A 20,408-nucleotide genomic window follows, 5' to 3' on the forward strand; every position below is an offset into this window, starting at 1 on the left:
TCATCTATTTATGGCATTAATTCAATTTTAATAGAGAAAAACTAACTCACAATACTAATATTTTCAGCATTTGATTTAGCAAGGACCACTTCAGGTGTGTCAACAATGCTTGTGTACTTAAGGTTCACCACAGGCGTCCGATAGACACTGTCACAAAAGATATTCTGGGCGTTTTTGACTCTCAACACTTCAGGAGACCCTTGGGGCATCCAGCCAATGCCACGCAACCACTCCAAGTCAGCCTTGTAGAGGGCCTGAAAAAGAAAACACAGGTAGAAGCAGGGTTTGTGTTTTGTTGTGTATGTGTGTGGTAAAATAAGGACAGTTTTTATGTTGTGTGTGTATATATTATATATACAACATAAAATATATATAACATAAATACATATATATATATATATATATATATATATATATTTTTTTTTTTTTTTTTTTTTTTTTTTTTTTTTGAGACAGAGTCTCATTCTGTCACCCAGGCTGGAGTGCAATGGCACAATCTCAGCTCACTACAAACTCCCCTTTCCAAGTTCAAGCAATTCTCCTGCCTCAGCCTCCCGAGTAGTTGAGACTACAGGCACGTGCCATGATGCCTGTCTAATTTTTGTATTTTTTTTAGTAGAGACGGAGTTTCACCATGCTAGCCAGGCTGGTCTCAAACCCCTGACCTCAGGTGATCCACCCACCTTGGCCTCCCAAAATGCTGGGATTACAGGCATGAGCCACTACGCCAGGCCTCTTTTATTTTATCTTCCACAAACAATAATTAAAACAGAGCACTAGCCTGACAAACATAATTCCTCAAATGCACAATGGCATTTCATTTTGCTTGGTTTTCTGTGGCAAGGGTCTGTGTGGTAGTGCCCATGTGCATTCTAAAAGGCAAAGTGATGCAGAAGCAGCTCTCCATTTGAGGGACTGCATGGAAGACTTCTGAATAATATTTAGGTTATCATCATACCATTACCAATGCAGACTTTAAAGCAACAATAATGGGCTTTCTAGTAAGTTCTCTACACAGCAGCCAGAATGATCTTTTCAAAATTCAGAATTCAAATCCGATGTCACAACATTCCCCCATCCTATGGCTTCCCATCGGTCATAGGATAAACATCAAAATCCCTGACACAGACTAGAAGGGATGAATGGTCTGGCACCAGTCCCCACCTATTCTTCCAGCCTCGTGTCATCTGTACTTCCATTGGCCCTGTGTGTCCTGATCACACAGCCTGTCTTTCAATTCGTAGTCTCATCAGCCCTCTTTGCACATGTTGGTCACCCTGAAGGAATGCCCCATGTCCTCCTAACCAACCCAACTTCTATTCTTCCTTCATATCTCTGTAAAATCAGTGCCTTCTCAGAAGAACTTTCTCGATCTCTCTTCATAGCACCATGGATCACTCTCAGCCATTCCATTTTTATTCTTTAATGAACATCTAGGTCTCGGTTATCAATGTGAACTCCCTAAAGTCAGGAGCTGTCATGTTTTTTGTTTGCCTTTGAGACGGAGTCTCACTCTGCCACCCAGGCTGGAGTGCAGTGGCAATCTCGGCTCACTGCAACCTCTGCCTCCTAGGTTCAAACGATTCTCCTGCCTCAGCCTCCTGTGTAGCTGGGATTACAGGCACATGCCACCACGCCAGGCTAATTTTTGTGTTTTTAGTAAAGACAGGGTTTCACCATGTTGGTCAGGCTGATCTTGAAATTCTGGACCTTGTGATCCACCCACCTCAGCCTCCCCAAAGTGCTGAGATTACAGGTGTGAGCCACAGCGCCCAGCCTATGTCATGTTTTTTCTTCTTCTTTATTCACCATGGTATCTTTAGTGCTTAGCACAATGCCTGGCACATGGTGTGTTTAATAAGTATTTTTAAAAGGATGATTAAGAATTCGATCACTACTTCCACAATTTTGGTCTCCAGAAACTGTCTTAAATATACCACTTGGCAATGCATTTTAAGTGATGAGCATGCTTTCCTGTAATGAACTCATTCATTATAAAAAAGTACCTCTGGAAGCTTAAGGGAACCAAGGTCAGATAATTTTTAAGTTATCCATTCTATACAGGAAATAAATAACCTTCTGTAATCCATCATTTCCAAAAGTTTGAAGGGCGGAAAATACGAGTAAATCTAAAAATGCCTTAGGTGAGTTAATGAAAGACCACATTGTGAAGAACGTCAAGTAAAAGGAAACAAGTGGTCTGGAGTGTGCTGCTAACTTTTCAAATTAAGTTTGAGGAAGATGGTCCTGCCCTTCTTTGATTCATAGCTGAAGGACCATGGACATTCTTCTGTTTAAGAAACTGCCCCAGCACTTTGGGAGGCCAAGGCAGGTGGATCACCTGAGGTCAGGGGTTTGAGACCAGCCTGGCCAACATGATGAAACCCTGCCTCTACTAAAAAATAAAAAAATCAGCCGACTGTGGTGGCATGTGCTTGTAATCCCAGCTACTTGGGAGGCTGAGGCAGAAGAATCGCTTGAACCCGGGAGGCAGAGGTTGCAGTGAGCTGAGACTCCAGCCAGGGCCACAGGGCAAGGGAAGGAGGGAAGGAGGGAAAGAGACAAGGAGGGAAGGAGGGAAGGAAGGAAGGAAGGAGAGAAGGAGGGAAGGAAGGAAGGAAGGAGGGAAGGAAGGAAGGAAGGAGAGAAGGAAGGAACGAAGGAAGGAATGAAGGAAGGAAGGAAGGAAGGGCGGGCAAGGCTGGGCATGGTGGCTCACTTCTGTAATCCCAGAACTTTGGAAGGCTGAGACGGGTGGATCACCTGCGGTCAGGAGTTCAAAACCAGCCTGGCCAAGATGGCAAAGACCTGTCTCTAATAAAAATACAAAAATCAGCTGGGTGTGGTGCACATGCCTGTAATCCCAGCTACTTGGGAGGCTGATGCAGGAACATCGCTTGAACCTGGGAGGCGGAGGTTGCAGTGGGCTGAGATTGCACCACTGCACTCCAGCCTGGGTGACAGAGCAAGACTCCATCTCAAAAAAAAAAAAAAAAAAAAAAAAAAAGTAAGAAACTGGAAACACTGTACACATTAACAAATCTATAGGAAAATTCTGGTAGCACCTTTAACAATGAAAACTTTCTGAAGAAACCTGGCTGTAGGTAGGCAATTAATAATTCTGATAAAATAATAATAAAGTGGAGTGCCTACGTACAGAGAGTTGTGTTTTCAGAGCATTGGAAGGAGCCATCAGGCAAAGCAATGGGGGACTTGTTTCCTGGGCGACACACTTACGTCGCTCTGTAGGTCGTAGGCTTTCCTGGCTTGGATCACATCATTCTGGTCGGGAAAGCAAGACCAGCGGTGCAGGTAATGGCGATAGTCCACATCACTTGCCAGTGCCTGACCTTCTTTGGCAGCGCTGATGGACACCATGTCCACAGGGATGGAGATCTTGGCTTTGTGGTCGTTGTAGGCCTTTTTGTACAGCCTGTCATTCTGCATCTTCAACACATTTGCTGCCCAAACCAGTTTAGGGTCTTCCTTGGCGCTGCGACAGCCAATGTAATGGCCTTTCTGTTTCTCATAAGCAGTTTTGTACAGATACTGGTAGATGTGAACAGAAAATAGAAGAGTAATTTTTCCAAACCCACTTTTTCTAGAGAGCCTACTCAAACTAACTCCATCTCCCTTAGTTTACCTTTTTTGGGGGGGTCGGGGAATACTGTTTTTATTTAAATTCAAGCCATAAGTTTTGATACATTGGTTTGTCTTCTGTGTCTACATGCATGAAAACATTGAGAGCATCTCTTAGGCAAGAACTGTGTTGCTGGATTATCTCCCAATATAGCCTGGCCACCTTCAGATGTTTTGTCACACACAAGTACCAGTTGTACTTCTTATTACTTTAAATCAAATTAATTCTTTGTTGAAATTTTTTTTATTTTACTTTTCTTTTCTTTTTTTTTTTTTTTTTTTTGAGACAGAGTCTCGCTCTGCTCCCCAGGCTAGAGTGCAGTAGCACGATCTCGGCTCACTTGCAATCTCCACCTCCTGGGTTCAAGTGATTCTCCTGCCTCTGCCTCCCCAGTAGCTGGGATTACAGGCATCCGCCACCATGCCCAGCTAATTTTTGTATTTTTAGTAGAGACAGGGTTTCACCGTGTTGGCCAGGCTGGTCTCGAACTCCTGACCTCAAGTGATCCACCCGCCTTGGCCTCCCAAAATGCTGGGATTACAGGCATGAGCCACCATGCCTTGCCTGAAATAATTTTTAATTATAAACTTATTTTAAAATTTTATTTAAAAATGTATAACCCTATCTACGTGGAAAAAAACAGTGTATTTCTAGCACACATTAAAACAACCATATAACTATTTTAAAAAAATACTTGTGCATGTACTACATAAAATTATTATAGGAAACACCGGTAGTATACACGCCACACTTTGAGTAACAACAGAATTCTCTGTACTATGAAATTAAATCTCTTTAAGTACTTGTAAATTAAGTGACATTGTGAAGATATTGAAAAGAAAATCAAAATCTGTGCTTAAACGCAAGAGTTGCAGAACCAAACATAGATGCAAAAGGATCCTCAGATTGTAAGAGTTGTTCTTGAATTTAGGATTTACAAATATACTAATAACAATGACCCAATTCCATTTAAATATAATTCAAAGGGCATTAAGTTAAACTCCCTCTATTTCTACTAGTTAGTGTTTGTTCCGGTTGGGAAGGAGGAGCTCTTACGTCACTGGCAATATCCCTGGAAGCCTTGGCATGCTGGATCCCAATGGCATCTGCTCGCAGGTCATAACCAGTCATCTTGACATCTTCCCAAGCTTGCTGATAGCGTTTCTGCAAACAGAGAGTGCAATGCCACAGTCAGTCTGAAGAGGGAGCTACTGAGTCAGCATTACTGATGTATTTAAAAATAGATATTTACAGTTACACTGAACATTAATGTCTCCTTAAGATTTATGAAAGAGTCTGGTTTCATATTGAGCTTGAATTCCAGTAGATTTTTAATGACATTTAGTAAAGCTCTCTCCCAATAATTATTTTTTGAAGAAGGAAACTTAGGAGATAATAAATCATGTAAAAATCAGAAAAAAACATATTGCTTGGCTTTTACAAGGAAAAAGCAATGATGGATGGCCCACCAAAACCTGAGAACTAGGTATTACTCTACGTGTATCTATAAGTTTTATGTTGTGTTTTTGGAGAAACCATTCCATTTTTCCTTCCAACAAATATTGAGATGTACATTATACAGACACACGCAGACCCACACAGCTACTTATCATTAACTTAAAGACTAGAAATAAAAGGAATGGGAAGAAAATGCCTTTTGACAAACTCTCTTTGGGGTGTATAATAAAAGGTTTGGTTAGGCAGAGAGCACTGTGAAAAGCAAATGATGTGTGCTGTCTTACATTGCTGATCTGCAGGGCATTGATTTTGGATTGCAGCATCAGGGGAGTGTCAGCTGGCACGTTCACATTAGCCTTCTCTTTCTCCCAGGCATCGCGATACAATGGCTGGGAAAAATGAAAAACGATGGAATGGTCAATTAGTAAATAAGTCAATTACCACATAAATAAAATTATAAAGTCATAAAACATACTTGAATAAATGGATGATGAAAAAAATTTTAAGTGAATTTTATAATAAATTAAAACTAACATAAGTAAATTAAAATTTTTAAGTAAGATTAATAGGTAAATCTAATTTTATATTAAATAATAAGCAAAATGAAAAGTTCTTTTTGGATGTTCTCCGATATAAACGTAGATTATACATAGCATAAGCCACTGCACCTTGCCTCCTTTGCACTTTTATTTAAAAGGTGCCAATAGTGACTTCAATAAGAACACATTTATGTGTGATACAACATAATTTAAAATGAGTCAGAAATATGGTAGTAAAATTATTCTTTTCCATTTACTCACATCTAATTATCAGATGGGTAAGTCCACATTGCAGATAGCTCTGATAATTCCCATTGCTGAGCAGGACCTAGCTGTTTTTGGTCCAAATAACTACCATAATGTCTAACATTGAAGTTGTCCCTAGACTTCTCAACCTATTTCAAGCAATAAAGAAGTGGCAATTTTGTGATTATAGTACTAAGTGGTGGGCCTATATTATGGTCTGGATCTCCAAATGTGATCAAAGTGTGTATCAGGGTGTGTAGAACATGAAGATGCCCACCACATGTGCATTGACCAAACACTTATCAAAGCAAATGAAATCCAGAGGCTGCTAAGAGACTGACTACACAAAGATCCATCTGGATACATGCAAACGTGTTTCAGATCCTGACGCTGACATGAAGAGTCTAAAGTTCACGTTTAAAATTCTTCTGGATTCAGATTTCTTCCATTTGTCTGAAAACATCATCCACCTGGACTTACCTCACTGATCTGTACAGCATTGATCTTTGCCTGGATTACTTCCGGGGTGTCAACAATGCTGGTGAATTTGAGGGCCTCAGGCTTTATACGATACAGCCTTTCATTCAAGAGATTCTGGGCATTCTTCACTCTCATCACTTCCACAGAACCCTCTGGCAACCATCCAATACCCTTCAGCCATTCCAGGTCTGACTTGTACAAGTTCTACATGAAGGAGAGGAACACAGAGTGGGGAAGAGTCAAAGTTGCCCATAAGAGTTTGATGCTTGCAAACCACACATCACCTCTGTTTAAATCAGTTAGGTGGCTAATCTCATAAAACTCAAGGATCAACATTAAATGTTAATATTGGGTGTTATCTCTCTGGCACACATGGGAGAAGTTTAGAGTATCCTGCAGGAATTGGAACAGGGCTCACAAGTGGCACTTGGTGGAACGGCAGCCAGCAATGGCACATAACTTTGTATGCTTGGATTAGTTTCTACACTCACCACTTGAAGTCTGCCTTTTATGTACCACTGGAAGTAACATCAGTAATAACATCAGTTGGATCTTAGGAGGTAAAGAACCTTAGATGTATGCGTAATGAGAAAAAAATACATACCTGTATCTATATCCATCCTGCCCCCCATCTCTCTCTCTTTCTGTGTCAAGTAAACATGAAATCCAACATTTCCTTATGCTTACATCTACTTATGAAATATGTATATGACTATGCAAAGGTAACGGCTCAGAGCAGCTGCAACTGAAATTTTCTACCTAATTACATAGAATAAGAGACTGATTTTCATCTTGGTAAATAAGGTCTTGCTACCATAAGAAGGAGTCCTCTATAAGATAGAAAATGTCTGGGGAAAACTCTGCTACCATGAATTGTACAGAATATGTTAGGTTCTATTAAGATTACCATTTAAATTATGCCTCTGGGGAATGCACTGGATTTAAACACACAAATACACATCTCCCCGGGGTCTGGCGATAATATACGCACATCGCTCTGCAGGTCGTAGGCTTTCTTGGCCTGGATCACATCGTTCTGATCTGGCAGACACGTCCACTGGTGCAGATAATTGCGATAATCAATGTCGCTAACCAGGACCTGGCATTTCTTGGCTTGAACAATTGACATCATGTCCAACGGTGTGTTGTGAATTCCTTTAGACTTCTCATAAGCTTTCTTATATTCTCTGTCACTCTGGATCTTGGCAGCATGTATAGCCCATACTGACTTGGGGTCATCTTGTAGGGTGCGGAAACCCATGTGGTGGCCCAGTTGCTTACGGTAACCTTCTTTGTATTTGTACTAAAGTAGTAAGAAATCATATTAAAAAGACATATGAAAATAATGTATTAAGAGGGGTTTTCTAATTTAAATGGTTTCAGTATGTTTTCTTAGCCTTGGTATAAATTGGCTCAACATTGGCAGTCATTACATATTTCAGTTCACTTTAAAGAAGTTAGATAATACGATTTTGGGTCATTTCAGAGAGGACATGAGTAAATCAGGAGGGAGATGGTATGGTGAACAAGAGTAATGAAAACAATAGCTAACATTTACTAAGTAATTACTCTATGCCGGACACTATTATGACTACTTCTAATGTGTTGGGTAGATCCACATGAAACTACCATGTTTTTCGGTCAAAAATCATTGACTGGTGGCAATTATGATCACAGTTCATCCTCACAATGTCTCTATGAGGTAGATACTATTATTAACATATATTCCAGTTGGGGAAAACAAGGCACAGGTGATAATCTCCATCACCAAGTTTCCCTGACAAGTGCAACATTAGGTCAAATGATCTCCTAAGAGTACTGAAGGAACCTCAGGTAGGGAGAGGTCATACGTGTGTGGTTTTGGAAACAGACAAGAAAGATGCATGTTTCAAGGATGGAAAGCAAGGCTGTGGCTTGAATCAGAAGATAACAACAAAAGTTCTGTGGACAAGAGTTTCCATCTGATGAGTGTCTCAGGACTAGTGTAAGGTGGTTTCTGTTTCTTTCCTATGTTTGGATAACATAGGCAAGTTTGAACAAAGAGAGAGAAAACTGGGAATCAAGCAGATAACGTGGACTAGCTATGGTTATTAGAGGCAAAAATGAAGAATAAGAAGGAGGAAACAACTGGCTACATGATGAAAATCAGAGAAGAACGCAGAGAAAGGGAACAAGGTGGCTTAAAGAGTTGGAGCTGGGGGCAGGGTGCACCTGGTAGCATAATTATTCTATTTTTATTTTTATTTTTTTTTGAAACGCAGTTTCAGTCTTGTTGCCCAGGCTGGAACGCAATGGCATGATCTCGGCTTACTGCAAACCTCCGCCTCCCAGGTTCAAGTGATTCTCCTGCCTCAGACTCCTGAGTAGCTGGGATTACACGTCCCGCCACCACGCCCAGCTAAGTTTTTGTTTGTTTGTTTGTTTGTTTGTATTTTTAGTAGAGATGAGGTTTTACCATGTTGGCCAGGCTGGTCTCGAACTCCTGACCTCAGGTGATCCGCCCACCTCAGCCTCCCAAAGTGCTGGGATTACAGGGGTGAGCCACCATGCCCGACAGGTAGCATAATTATTTTGACCACTAGTAAGTTTTAAAATTAGAATTAAATGAAGTTCCAAAGATTACTAAGAGTATTCTACATAAGCCTCCAGTATAAAATCTTGCATATAAATATGATTTCAGTCTTAAGTCTTATATGAAACTATCATCTGTGACTTATATTTGTGGAGAATGTCAGAAATATTTTAGGGATAAAAATGACATTGTATTGGGTCCTGAATTTTCCCAGGAATTTAATACAGACTCTTCATGATGTTTTGTTTCTACTTTGTAACAGCATCAAAGTAAATTTACACATATACCTCATCTATGCTAACTTTAATGTTTTCCATTCCATTTTAATATTTTCAAATACAGAAAGCTTCTAGCAGAGGATGAGATGCAATTCTATGCACAGATTTTTTAAAAACACAAAATTCTTGAAAAATAGTCTCCCTGCTCGTTTTGTAGAAAAGAAAAACCACAAGAAAAGAGAAGGAAGCGTACCTCACTGGCAATTTCTCTGGAGGCCTTGGCGTGCTTGATTTCAATGGCATCTGCCCTTATGTCATAGCCTTTCTGCTTGGTGTCATTCCAGTCTTTTTGGTAGAGTTTCTATAGAGGGAAAATAAAGGTTTGTTTACAAGAATGGAAAAATAAGCAAATTTACTCAAATTTGTCATAATATAAATCATAAAGAATATGGTAATGTAGTCAATATAAGAAAAAAGCATTCATTTCTGGGTTCTTTTCGTTGTTGGATATTTCCTCTGTGGTGTACAGGATACTTCTGGTTAAAATTTTAAAGCTAAACATCAAACTCTATTAATGTTTGAATATTTGCATCCATCACAATATGGTATGCATTTGAAAATATCCCACTACAAGTACATGGAACCTAAGGATCAATGGGGAAGCCAGAGAATCTTTATCAAGATATCAGGTAAGATCTGATAAGATTTTTCTCCCCCTAATTTTGTCCTTTGACTTTTCAGAAGTTTCTGCTAAAGGGTTGTGACATAGATATCATACATAGCCCGCCATTTGGATGTAATTAAAAATGGTCCTTTGTCTTTCTTATGGCCTTGAAATGTCAAATGAAAAAGTCCTGGATCAATAAGAAAAACCTAAGATGATAACAGAGACTGTTAAGAGTGAAGGAGGACACCAAAAGGATTCAGGTGTCCCAAATCCTGCAGTCTAGGCACCCACCGATGTATCCAAGCACACATTTAAAAGAGAGAAACTCCATTCATATCGCATTGGGACTGGTAGCTAAAGAGAAAATGTCTAGCACCAAAAGCCACAAACATTGCAAGGTAGGTAATTTGTCGCTATAACAATCTCCATGAGCAGACAGATATTGCCCATAAAGGCTTTTACACTTCATGTTCGTGCCACTTACATTGCTGATTTGCAAGGCATTGATGTGGGCCTGCAGCATCTCCGGAGTATCAGAAGGAATGGTGATGTTGCTTTTATCTTTATTCCAGGCTTCCTGATACAGTTTCTGTGGAGAGGAGGGAAATAGGGAATCAATATCTGAAACATTAAGCCTTAGCTAATGTTTGGCTAATAGTTAACTAATGTAAGCCTTAGCTAACTACTCAATCTGGAAAAACGTTTTTACATATGTTTATAATGGTTAACTTTATGTGTCAGCTTGGCTGGGGCATGGTACCCAGATATTTAGTCAAACATTATTTTAGGTGTTTCTGTGAAAGTATTGTTAAAATGAAGTTAACATTTAAATCAGTAGATTCCAAGTAAAGGAGACTACCCTTCATGATGTGGGTGAGCCTTATCTAATTAGTTGAAGACCTTGATAGAAAAGACAAACCTCCCCAGTAAAAAGGAATTCTGCCAGCAGATGGCCTTTGGGTTTGAATTGCAACACATCCCTCAGTCTCTAGCCGGCTGGCCTACCCTGCAGACTTTGGACTTGCCAGCCTGCATGATCTCAGGAGCCAATTTCTTAAAGTCTCTCTCTTCTGTGTGTGTGTACAAACACACACACACAAACACACACACACACACAGCCCCTATTGGTTCTGTTTCTCTAGAGAATCTGGACTAATACAATGTTATGTTATTATGTAGCATGACACTACATGTCTTAGTATTTAATATGAGGTCAACAAGTATTTGTGTTCCTGAGTTGCCAGGGAGTGACATTTTCACTGCAGTGCTTCAAAGTGTGTATGTGTGGTAGAAGAAAGGCATGTTGGTGTTTGTCAGAGTTCTATTTTCAGTGTATCTGCACTAGTGAAGACATTTTTAGAGTTGCTCGTCTCACCAAAATTCTTTGAAGAAGTCCAGTCTACGGGCTCAGTTTGGGTGGTATCTTTGGAAAAGATAGTAGGATGGTTCTTACCTCACTTATTTGCAGAGAATTGGCTTTTGCCAAGACAACTTCTGGAGTGTCGACAATGCTGGTGAATGACAAAGCTTCTGGACGTGTCCTATAGAGTCTTTCATTCACGAGGTCTTGAGCAACCTTCACTCTGTTCATTTCCACTGAGCCTTCTGGCATCCAGCCGATGCCACGCAGCCACTCCAGGTCTGCCTTATACACACTCTATAAAGAAGATGTCAGACAAAAATACCATTTCTGACCAACATGGTGAAACCCCATCTCTACTAAAAATACAAAAATTAGCCGGGCATGGTGGCGCATGCCTGTAATCCCAGCTACTTGGGAGGCTGAGGCAGGAGAATCGCTTGAACCCGGGAGGCAGAGCTTGCAGTGAGCCGAGACTGTGCCATTGCACTCCAGCCTGGGCAACAAGAGCAAACCTCCGTCTCACAAAAAAAAAAAAAAAAAAAAAAAAGGTAAATGTCAACATTTAATGAAAAAATAGGCAAAGATTGTATGAGAGGCAAGGTGCAGGCTTTCAGCACTGAAACTCTGAGTACATGCAACGGCAAAGCAAAAATAAAACATGAAAGTACATCATTGTGACACTGGAAATCCCTTTTGTGATCATAAGTTGAAGTCGTGAGTGCTAACATTTAAAAAAATTTTTTTTAAGGGATGGAGTGCAATTGGAGACTGCACTCCAGCCTGGGCAATGAGAGTGAAACTCCATTTCAAAAAAAAAGAAAAAAAAAAGGAAAAAACATTTCAAGTGTTAGACATACAAATCTTTAGCTGAAAAATAAAGCACATGGGGTTGAAGGGATAGGTGCAGGAGATTGTACTTCCAAAAAAGTAAGACCTGAGATCTCACATGATTCAGGGTTTTTAATATTGATCACAGAAGTCATTTGTAAAAACATAATTATTTATACTAGCCATGAATAATAATATGTATAGTAATAAAGCTGAATTCCATGATATAATTGATATTTCAAAAAATTTTATAGTTGAAAATTTTTAAAGGAAAATTTTGCTGAATTGGATTCCACTTTAATCCTGTGATAATTGACCCAAGGAAATGCTGTTTAGTGTTTTGGATCTAGCATAATAGCAGCAATTATTTTAAAAACATTCAGATGATTTTTATTTGTCTGAAAATGTATTTGTCTGAAAAGTGCTGGGATTACAGGTGTGAGCCACCGCGCCCAGCCCTATGTCATGTTCTTTCTTCTTCTTTATTCACCATTGTATCTTTAGTGCTTAGCACAATGCCTGGCACATGGTGTGTTTAATAAGTATTTTTAAAAGGATGATTAAGAATTCGATCACTAGTTCCACAGTTTTGGTCTCCAGAAACTGTCTTAAATCTACCACTTGGCAATGCATTTTAAGTGATGAGCATGCTTTCCTGTAATGAACTCATTCATTACAAAAAGGTATCTCTGGAAGCTTAAGGGAACCAAGATCAGATAATTTTTAAGTTATCCATTCTATACAGGAAATAAATAACCTTCTGTAATCCATCATTTCTAAAAGTCTGAAGGGCAGAAAATACGAGTAAATCTAAAAATGCCTTAGGTGAGTTAATGAAAGACCACATTGTGAAGAACATCAAGTGGTCTGGAGCGTGCTGCTAACTTTTCAAATTAAGTTTGAGGAAGATGGTCCTGCCCTTCTTTGATTCATAGCTGAAGGACCATGGACATTCTTCTGTTTAAGAAACTGCCCCAGCACTTTGGGAGGCCAAGGCAGGTGGATCACCTGAGGTCAGGGGTTTGAGACCAGCCTGGCCAACATGATGAAACCCTGCCTCTACTAAAAAATAAAAAAATCAGCCGACTGTGGTGGCATGTGCTTGTAATCCCAGCTACTTGGGAGGCTGAGGCAGAAGAATCGCTTGAACCCGGGAGGCAGAGGTTGCAGTGAGCTGAGACTCCAGCCTGGGCCGCAGGGCCAGACTAAGGAAGGAAGGAAGGAACAAAGAAACGAACTGCAAGGCTGGGCGCGGTGGCTCACATCTATAATCCCAGAACTTTGGGAGGCTGAGACAAGTGGATCACCTGAGGCCAGGAGTTCAAGACCAGCCTGGCCAAGATGGCGAAAACCCGCCTCTAATAAAAATACAAAAATTAGCTGGGTGTGGTGCACATGCCTGTAATCCCAGCTACTTGGGAGGCTGATGCAGGAACATCGCTTGAACCTGGGAGGCGGAGGTTGCAGTGGGCTGAGATTGCACCACTGCACTCCAGCCTGGGTGACAGAGCAAGACTCTCCGTCTCAAAAAAAAAAAAAAAAAAAAAGAAAGAAACTGGAAACACTGTACACATTAACAAATCTATAGGAAAATTCTGGTAGCACCTTTAACAATGAAAACTTTCTGAAGAAACCTGGCTGTAGGTAGGCAATTAATAATTCTGATAAAATAATAATAAAGTGGAGTGCCTACGTACAGAGAGTTGTGTTTTCAGAGCATTGGAAGGAGCCATCAGGCAAAGCAATGGGGGACTTGTTTCCTGGGGGACACACTTACGTCGCTCTGTAGGTCGTAGGCTTTCCTGGCTTGGATCACATCATTCTGGTCGGGAAAGCAAGACCAGTGGTGCAGGTAATGGCGATAGTCCACATCACTTGCCAGTGCCTGACCTTCTTTGGCAGCGCTGATGGACACCATGTCCACAGGGATGGAGATCTTGGCTTTGTGGTCGTTGTAGGCCTTTTTGTACAGCCTGTCATTCTGCATCTTCAACACATTTGCTGCCCAAACCAGTTTAGGGTCTTCCTTGGCGCTGCGACAGCCAATGTAATGGCCTTTCTGTTTCTCATAAGCAGTTTTGTACAGATACTGGTAGATGTGAACAGAAAATAGAAGAGTAATTTTTCCAAACCCACTTTTTCTAGAGAGCCTACTCAAACTAACTCCATCTCCCTTAGTTTACCTTTTTTGGGGGGGTCGGGGAATACTGTTTTTATTTAAATTCAAGCCATAAGTTTTGATACATTGGTTTGTCTTCTGTGTCTACATGCATGAAAACATTGAGAGCATCTCTTAGGCAAGAACTGTGTTGCTGGATTATCTCCCAATATAGCCTGGCCACCTTCAGATGTTTTGTCACACACAAGTACCAGTTGTACTTCTTATTACTTTAAATCAAATTAATTCTTTGTTGAAATTTTTTTTATTTTACTTTTCTTTTCTTTTTTTTTTTTTTTTTTTTGAGACAGAGTCTCGCTCTGCTCCCCAGGCTAGAGTGCAGTAGCACGATCTCGGCTCACTTGCAATCTCCACCTCCTGGGTTCAAGTGATTCTCCTGCCTCTGCCTCCCCAGTAGCTGGGATTACAGGCATCCGCCACCATGCCCAGCTAATTTTTGTATTTTTAGTAGAGACAGGGTTTCACCGTGTTGGCCAGGCTGGTCTCGAACTCCTGACCTCAAGTGATCCACCCGCCTTGGCCTCCCAAAATGCTGGGATTACAGGCATGAGCCACCATGCCTTGCCTGAAATAATTTTTAATTATAAACTTATTTTAAAATTTTATTTAAAAATGTATAACCCTATCTACGTGGAAAAAAACAGTGTATTTCTAGCACACATTAAAACAACCATATAACTATTTTAAAAAAATACTTGTGCATGTACTACATAAAATTATTATAGGAAACACCGGTAGTATACACGCCACACTTTGAGTAACAACAGAATTCTCTGTACTATGAAATTAAATCTCTTTAAGTACTTGTAAATTAAGTGACATTGTGAAGATATTGAAAAGAAAATCAAAATCTGTGCTTAAACGCAAGAGTTGCAGAACCAAACATAGATGCAAAAGGATCCTCAGATTGTAAGAGTTGTTCTTGAATTTAGGATTTACAAATATACTAATAACAATGACCCAATTCCATTTAAATATAATTCAAAGGGCATTAAGTTAAACTCCCTCTATTTCTACTAGTTAGTGTTTGTTCCGGTTGGGAAGGAGGAGCTCTTACATCACTGGCAATATCCCTGGAAGCCTTGGCATGCTGGATCCCAATGGCATCTGCTCGCAGGTCATAACCAGTCATCTTGACATCTTCCCAAGCTTGCTGATAGCGTTTCTGCAAACAGAGAGTGCAATGCCACAGTCAGTCTGAAGAGGGAGCTACTGAGTCAGCATTACTGATGTATTTAAAAATAGATATTTACAGTTACACTGAACATTAATGTCTCCTTAAGATTTATGAAAGAGTCTGGTTTCATATTGAGCTTGAATTCCAGTAGATTTTTAATGACATTTAGTAAAGCTCTCTCCCAATAATTATTTTTTGAAGAAGGAAACTTAGGAGATAATAAATCATGTAAAAATCAGAAAAAAACATATTGCTTGGCTTTTACAAGGAAAAAGCAATGATGGATGGCCCACTAAAACCTGAGAACTAGGTATTACTCTACGTGTATCTATAAGTTTTATGTTGTGTTTTTGGAGAAACCATTCCATTTTTCCTTCCAACAAACATTGAGATGTACATTACACAGACACACGCAGACCCACACAGCTACTTATCATTAACTTAAAGACTAGAAATAAAAGGAATGGGAAGAAAATGCCTTTTGACAAACTCTCTTTGGGGTGTATAATAAAAGGTTTGGTTAGGCAGAGAGCACTGTGAAAAGCAAATGATGTGCGCTGTCTTACATTGCTGATCTGCAGAGCATTGATTTTGGATTGCAGCATCAGGGGAGTGTCAGCTGGCACGTTCACATTAGCCTTCTCTTTCTCCCAGGCATTGCGATACAATGGCTGGGAAAAATGAAAAACGATGGAATGGTCAATTAGTAAATAAGTCAATTACCACATAAATAAAATTATAAAGTCATGAAACATATACTTGAATAAATGGATATGAATAAAATTTTAAGTGAATTTTATAATAAATTAAAACTAACATAAGTAAATTAAAATTTTTAAGTAAGATTAATAGGTAAATCTAATTTTATATTAAATAATAAGCAAAATGAAAAGTTCTTTTTGGATGTTCTCCGATATAAACGTAGATTATACATAGCATAAGCCACTGCACCTTGCCTCCTTTGCACTTTTATTTAAAAGGTGCCAATAGTGACTTCAATAAGAACACATTTATGTGTGATACAACATAATTTAAAATGAGTCAGAAATACGGTAGTAAAATTATTCTTTTCCATTTACTCACATCTAATTATCAGATGGGTAAGTCCACATTGCAGATAGCTCTGATAATTCCCATTGCTGAGCAGGACCTAGCTGTTTTTGGTCCAAATAACTACCATAATGTCTAACATTGAAGTTGTCCCTAGACTTCTCAACCTATTTCAAGCAATAAAGAAGTGGCAATTTTGTGATTATAGTACTAAGTGGTGGGCCTATATTATGGTCTGGATCTCCAAATGTGATCAAAGTGTGTATCAGGGTGTGTAGAACATGAAGATGCCCACCACATGTGCATTGACCAAACACTTATCAAAGCAAATGAAATCCAGAGGCTGCTAAGAGACTGACTACACAAAGATCCATCTGGATACATGCAAACGTGTTTCAGATCCTGACGCTGACATGAAGAGTCTAAAGTTCACGTTTAAAATTCTTCTGGATTCAGATTTCTTCCATTTGTCTGAAAACATCATCCACCTGGACTTACCTCACTGATCTGTACAGCATTGATCTTTGCCTGGATTACTTCCGGGGTGTCAACAATGCTGGTGAATTTGAGGGCCTCAGGCTTTATACGATACAGCCTTTCATTCAAGAGATTCTGGGCATTCTTCACTCTCATCACTTCCACAGAACCCTCTGGCAACCATCCAATACCCTTCAGCCATTCCAGGTCTGACTTGTACAAGTTCTACATGAAGGAGAGGAACACAGAGTGGGGAAGAGTCAAAGTTGCCCATAAGAGTTTGATGCTTGCAAACCACACATCACCTCTGTTTAAATCAGTTAGGTGGCTAATCTCATAAAACTCAAGGATCAACATTAAATGTTAATATTGGGTGTTATCTCTCTGGCACACATGGGAGAAGTTTAGAGTATCCTGCAGGAATTGGAACAGGGCTCACAAGTGGCACTTGGTGGAACGGCAGCCAGCAATGGCACATAACTTTGTATGCTTGGATTAGTTTCTACACTCACCACTTGAAGTCTGCCTTTTATGTACCACTGGAAGTAACATCAGTAATAACATCAGTTGGATTTTAGGAGGTAAAGAACCTTAGATGTATGCGTAATGAGAAAAAAATACATACCTGTATCTATATCCATCCTGCCCCCCATCTCTCTCTCTTTCTGTGTCAAGTAAACATGAAATCCAACATTTCCTTATGCTTACATCTACTTATGAAATATGTATATGATTATGCAAAGGTAACGGCTCAGAGCAGCTGCAACTGAAATTTTCTACCTAATTACATAGAATAAGAGACTGATTTTCATCTTGGTAAATAAGGTCTTGCTACCATAAGAAGGAGTCCTCTATAAGATAGAAAATGTCTGGGGAAAACTCTGCTACCATGAATTGTACAGAATATGTTAGGTTCTATTAAGATTACCATTTAAATTATGCCTCTGGGGAATGCACTGGATTTAAACACACAAATACACATCTCCCCGGGGTCTGGCGATAATATACGCACATCGCTCTGCAGGTCGTAGGCTTTCTTGGCCTGGATCACATCGTTCTGATCTGGCAGACACGTCCACTGGTGCAGATAATTGCGATAATCAATGTCGCTAACCAGGACCTGGCATTTCTTGGCTTGAACAATTGACATCATGTCCAACGGTGTGTTGTGAATTCCTTTAGACTTCTCATAAGCTTTCTTATATTCTCTGTCACTCTGGATCTTGGCAGCATGTATAGCCCATACTGACTTGGGGTCATCTTGTAGGGTGCGGAAACCCATGTGGTGGCCCAGTTGCTTACGGTAACCTTCTTTGTATTTGTACTAAAGTAGTAAGAAATCATATTAAAAAGACATATGAAAATAATGTATTAAGAGGGGTTTTCTAATTTAAATGGCTTCAGTATGTTTTCTTAGCCTTGGTATAAATTGGCTCAACATTGGCAGTCATTACATATTTCAGTTCACTTTAAAGGAATTAGATAATACGATTTTAGGTCATTTCAGAGAGGACATGAGTAAATCAGGAGGGAGATGGTATGGTGAACAAGAGTAATGAAAACAATAGCTAACATTTACTAAGTAATTACTCTATGCCGGACACTATTATGACTACTTCTAATGTGTTGGGTAGATCCACATGAAACTACCATGTTTTTCGGTCAAAAATCATTGACTGGTGGCAATTATGATCACAGTTCATCCTCACAATGTCTCTATGAGGTAGATACTATTATTAACATATATTCCAGTTGGGGAAAACAAGGCACAGGTGATAATCTCCATCACCAAGTTTCCCTGACAAGTGCAACATTAGGTCAAATGATCTCCTAAGAGTACTGAAGGAACCTCAGGTAGGGAGAGGTCATACGTGTGTGGTTTTGGAAACAGACAAGAAAGATGCATGTTTCAAGGATGGAAAGCAAGGCTGTGGCTTGAATCAGAAGATAACAACAAAAGTTCTGTGGACAAGAGTTTCCATCTGATGAGTGTCTCAGGACTAGTGTAAGGTGGTTTCTGTTTCTTTCCTATGTTTGGATAACATAGGCAAGTTTGAACAAAGAGAGAGAAAACTGGGAATCAAGCAGATAACGTGGACTAGCTATGGTTATTAGAGGCAAAAATGAAGAATAAGAAGGAGGAAACAACTGGCTACATGATGAAAATCAGAGAAGAACGCAGAGAAAGGGAACAAGGTGGCTTAAAGAGTTGGAGCTGGGGGCAGGGTGCACCTGGTAGCATAATTATTCTATTTTTATTTTTATTTTTTTTTGAAACGCAGTTTCAGTCTTGTTGCCCAGGCTGGAACGCAATGGCATGATCTCGGCTTACTGCAAACCTCCGCCTCCCAGGTTCAAGTGATTCTCCTGCCTCAGACTCCTGAGTAGCTGGGATTACAGGCTCCCGCCACCACGCCCAGCTAAGTTTTTGTTTGTTTGTTTGTTTGTTTGTATTTTTAGTAGAGATGAGGTTTTACCATGTTGGCCAGGCTGGTCTCGAACTCCTGACCTCAGGTGATCCGCCCACCTCAGCCTCCCAAAGTGCTGGGATTACAGGGGTGAGCCACCATGCCCGACAGGTAGCATAATTATTTTGACCACTAGTAAGTTTTAAAATTAGAATTAAATGAAGTTCCAAAGATTACTAAGAGTATTCTACATAAGCCTCCAGTATAAAATCTTGCATATAAATATGATTTCAGTCTTAAGTCTTATATGAAACTATCATCTGTGACTTATATTTGTGGAGAATGTCAGAAATATTTTAGGGATAAAAATGACATTGTATTGGGTCCTGAATTTTCCCAGGAATTTAATACAGACTCTTCATGATGTTTTGTTTCTACTTTGTAACAGCATCAAAGTAAATTTACACATATACCTCATCTATGCTAACTTTAATGTTTTCCATTCCATTTTAATATTTTCAAATACAGAAAGCTTCTAGCAGAGGATGAGATGCAATTCTATGCACAGATTTTTTAAAAACACAAAATTCTTGAAAAATAGTCTCCCTGCTCGTTTTGTAGAAAAGAAAAACCACAAGAAAAGAGAAGGAAGCGTACCTCACTGGCAATTTCTCTGGAGGCCTTGGCGTGCTTGATTTCAATGGCATCTGCCCTTATGTCATAGCCTTTCTGCTTGGTGTCATTCCAGTCTTTTTGGTAGAGTTTCTATAGAGGGAAAATAAAGGTTTGTTTACAAGAATGGAAAAATAAGCAAATTTACTCAAATTTGTCATAATATAAATCATAAAGAATATGGTAATGTAGTCAATATAAGAAAAAAGCATTCATTTCTGGGTTCTTTTCGTTGTTGGATATTTCCTCTGTGGTGTACAGGATACTTCTGGTTAAAATTTTAAAGCTAAACATCAAACTCTATTAATGTTTGAATATTTGCATCCATCACAATATGGTATGCATTTGAAAATATCCCACTACAAGTACATGGAACCTAAGGATCAATGGGGAAGCCAGAGAATCTTTATCAAGATATCAGGTAAGATCTGATA

At 39.6% G+C, this 20,408-nt stretch overlaps 1 protein-coding gene across 47 annotated transcripts in view; it reads right to left on the minus strand.

Annotated features, from left to right (window-relative positions):
• Positions 1-20,408, minus strand: part of NEB (nebulin) — a 249,138-nt gene that overhangs the window by 90,762 nt on the left and 137,968 nt on the right. For 46 of the 47 annotated variants that reach the window (XM_011511227.3, XM_011511226.3, XM_005246613.3 and 43 more), the window contains 15 exons: positions 19,960-20,067; positions 17,907-18,218; positions 16,916-17,119; positions 15,934-16,038; positions 15,248-15,355; positions 13,789-14,100; positions 11,274-11,477; positions 10,305-10,409; positions 9,407-9,514; positions 7,355-7,666; positions 6,364-6,567; positions 5,383-5,487; positions 4,697-4,804; positions 3,238-3,549; positions 51-254 (listed from right to left, as the gene is read on the minus strand). In XM_011511227.3, the coding sequence (XP_011509529.1) occupies positions 51-254; positions 3,238-3,549; positions 4,697-4,804; positions 5,383-5,487; positions 6,364-6,567; positions 7,355-7,666; positions 9,407-9,514; positions 10,305-10,409; positions 11,274-11,477; positions 13,789-14,100; positions 15,248-15,355; positions 15,934-16,038; positions 16,916-17,119; positions 17,907-18,218; positions 19,960-20,067 (2,811 nt within the window). The remainder of the gene's footprint in view (positions 1-50; positions 255-3,237; positions 3,550-4,696; positions 4,805-5,382; positions 5,488-6,363; positions 6,568-7,354; positions 7,667-9,406; positions 9,515-10,304; positions 10,410-11,273; positions 11,478-13,788; positions 14,101-15,247; positions 15,356-15,933; positions 16,039-16,915; positions 17,120-17,906; positions 18,219-19,959; positions 20,068-20,408) is intronic. The other variant, NM_004543.5, reaches the window with a different exon arrangement.

Source organism: Homo sapiens, chromosome 2 (assembly GCF_000001405.40).
Source record: "Homo sapiens chromosome 2, GRCh38.p14 Primary Assembly".
In the NCBI taxonomy this organism is placed as follows: Eukaryota; Metazoa; Chordata; class Mammalia; order Primates; family Hominidae; genus Homo; species Homo sapiens.